Source organism: Homo sapiens, chromosome 7 (assembly GCF_000001405.40).
Source record: "Homo sapiens chromosome 7, GRCh38.p14 Primary Assembly".
NCBI classification, from domain to species: domain Eukaryota; kingdom Metazoa; phylum Chordata; class Mammalia; order Primates; family Hominidae; genus Homo; species Homo sapiens.
Genome location: NC_000007.14, coordinates 35,543,528 through 35,546,570, shown reverse-complemented (window position 1 = coordinate 35,546,570; position 3,043 = coordinate 35,543,528).

The window sequence follows — 3,043 nt, the reverse complement described above, 5'->3', positions numbered from 1 at the left end:
AAATAATTTAAAGCCGTCATATTGTAGTCGTTAAAACATAGATTGCCGCCCCCACCTCTCAGAGTTTCTGATTCAACAGGACTGAGGTGGGCCCAAGAACCTGCATTTTTAACAAGTTCCCCAATGTTGCCGCTGCTGGTCCTGGGACCAAACTTTGAGAACCGTTAACATAAAGGCTGAGATGCCAGGAAAGTGGGCACCTAGAAAGCCTAAAAGAGAACAACAAAATAAAACAGAACACTTAAGTCTTCAGGATGCCCATCTCTAAAGCCACATCCGAGAGACAAGAACACGGCAAATGCTTTATAAAAGAAAATACAAATTTACGATATGGAGAGCTGACAGGACTGATTGGAAGTGAAACCATCCCCAAACCAATCCATTTATTTAGGAAATAAATGAAAGGGAGATCCTGTGAAATGGATTGATTGTGAGAGACTGCAATCCTTCATCCTGTTTCTGGCTTTTGATGGGGTGAGTGAGGTCTCTGGGAGACAGGAAGCTACTTTGGCTTAATGGCCCAGCTCCGATGAAGACAGAAAAGACACCATTTTCTGCCTGTTCCTCATCCTGCCCTTGAAAGAACCACCGCTTCTTGTGGTTAGAGCTGTTGAAGGCGAGCTTCCCCGCCAGAAATCTGAAGCCCATAGAAGGTCTGTCTTCTGCAGATGGGGTCTTCTTGGGGGTTCTCTCTGGCCATATGAGTTGCTGTGTCTGAGGGACACTCGGTGTGATGTAATCAGCCCCGCCTCTATGGTTCTCACAGGCTGCATACTCTCCTCACCTGGGGAGATGGACTCCGTGGGATGCCTGGACCCTCCCTCTACTTAGAGTCTCTGAGGGTGGAGGTTGGTTTTTCTAAGCTCTTCAGGGGATTCTGATGTGTATCCAGGGCTGAGGACCCCTGTGAGAGGCCCTGGTCAGGATGCTCCCTGGAGTTGTCCTGCAGCTCCCTTTGCCTCTAATGCTGCAGGTTTTTCTGCAGGTTCTTTCTCCTGATGTTTCTTTCTGAAGTGGCATCATTCATCTTGGGTAATACCTGAAGTTCATAGCCTCATGCCAAGGAAATTAAGGATGCAGACACACAAGGAGTGAGTTTAACAGTGGAGGTTTAATAAGCAAGAGAAAGAGAAAAAGCCCTCTCTCCTGCAGAGAGAGAGGGGCTCCTGAGTGGTCTTCTGGTTTCGTGGTGAAATGCACAGGGTTTTATAGATGAGCTTGAGGAGGCAGCATCTGATTTAAGCAGGGCCCAAAGATTAATTGGACCAGGTGTGCCATTTACATAGTACATGAAGAAGCTGGCCACCCCACCCTAATCTTTTATTATGCACATGGGTTCTCTATCTGGCCAGTGCCATGTTGCCTGTTCCTTTACTCTTCACATGGTTGGCATGGAAAAGGGAAGATGGAACCTCCGTGTTGAGCATACTTGGCCCCCAGGTAGCCTTTTTCTGTTGGCACAGCTGCCGACATTCACCCATGTGAGCTTCTAGTTTGCTTTTCTCTGTCTGCAGCTTGATTTTTCAGGCAGCTCTTTGTTAGAAAAGAAATGATTTGGGGACTGCTTTTTATTAAAAGGGAAACCTTGCTGAGGACTCTCTTACCCTCACTAACTGCCTAAATAATTTCTTTCTAGCTCCTGTGTAATTTCCCCTCAGCTGGTGGTTTGCTCAGCAGAGGCCTCTCTGGCTTGATGGTTTACCCTTTGAATGCAGCAATATCCACACTGTATTCCCAGAAACACTAGAGTCCCCTGAGATGTTAAGAGAAGTTCTAAGAGAGAGAAAGAGAGAAGAACACTTTTTTATTTTAAGTTTGTTAGGTACCTTGCAGAGTCAGCGGGCAGGCTAGAGATCAAAGCCTGCTCAGAAAATAGACAGGAACCAAGGAGGCCAGAGTGGTAGGAACAACAGCAAGGCCACTACCTAGCTAGGAAGCATCACCACGCTGGGCCTGGGACATTTGATGTCACCACCATGGCAGACAGGATGAAGTTTAAACCATCCCTGAATCTGGTTTTCACTTGCTTAAGAGTCAAAGTCCAGGGCAGGTGCACTGAACCGGCTGAGCTTGGGTCACACGTTGGTGCCCCATGTATTGGTAAGAGCTGTGGTGTGGCTCTAAAATTTCCTCTGGTGTCCTTATTTGTGTATTTTTTGTTGTCTTTGTGTTTCCCTAGAGAATTCTCCTTGGATAAGATCTGAGACATGCAGCTCTTTCTGTTGTAGTTCCTCGCTATGGTGCAGGAGCTCAGGGGATGTGGTGGTGAGGTGCAGGGAGGGGAGTGTGCTGTAGACAATTAGGTCTCAGTCTTTCAGTGAGCCTGTGCCCTGGGCTGTGACCCTCACAAGTGCTTCTCCCTGCACACCCCCACCGCTCCCATATATGATGCAGACAGGCTAGAGGGGGCTGGAGTTGGGTATCTCTCTTACCCTAGGTCGACTGGGCTTTGGTAAAACCCTAGTCAATTATTCTGTGGTAAGATAGTTTATCTTACCAGACCTGTTAAGAAGAACAGAATGATCTGGTATGCTTCAAAATATCTCCTCTTTTCCTCTCCCTGTTGGGAGCATGAGGGGATTTTTTCCCCTAGCTTCACTATCAGAACGTGGTAGGGCTCCCAGAGGTAAAACTAAGTGTGGGAGCCTCCCTGAGGCTGGGCCCCTTGGGGTTTTTAATCTCTCAGGCTTGTCCACCCTGAGCCCCCAGCAATTCATCAACTACAGTTCAGGTTTCCCTACCCTGGCACTGGTTTGTGTAGAGGTTTGTCCCTGTGATCCTCCTGTATCCTCCTGGATCCTCCTGGATCCTCCTGGATCCTCCTGGATCCATCTGTATCCTCCTGTCTGTTTCTGCAAACCTCAGGACAGTAGTTTGCCCTGTGACCTCAGTTCTCTGGTGGGATCTAAGAAGAGTTGTTGATTTTCAGTTAGTTCAGCTTTTTTCTTGTGTGGAGAGGAGTGATGACTTTTAAACTCTTAACATGCCGAAAGTCACGTAGGGATTTTGTAAGACGTTTAGATTCATGGTATTTTCTATCACG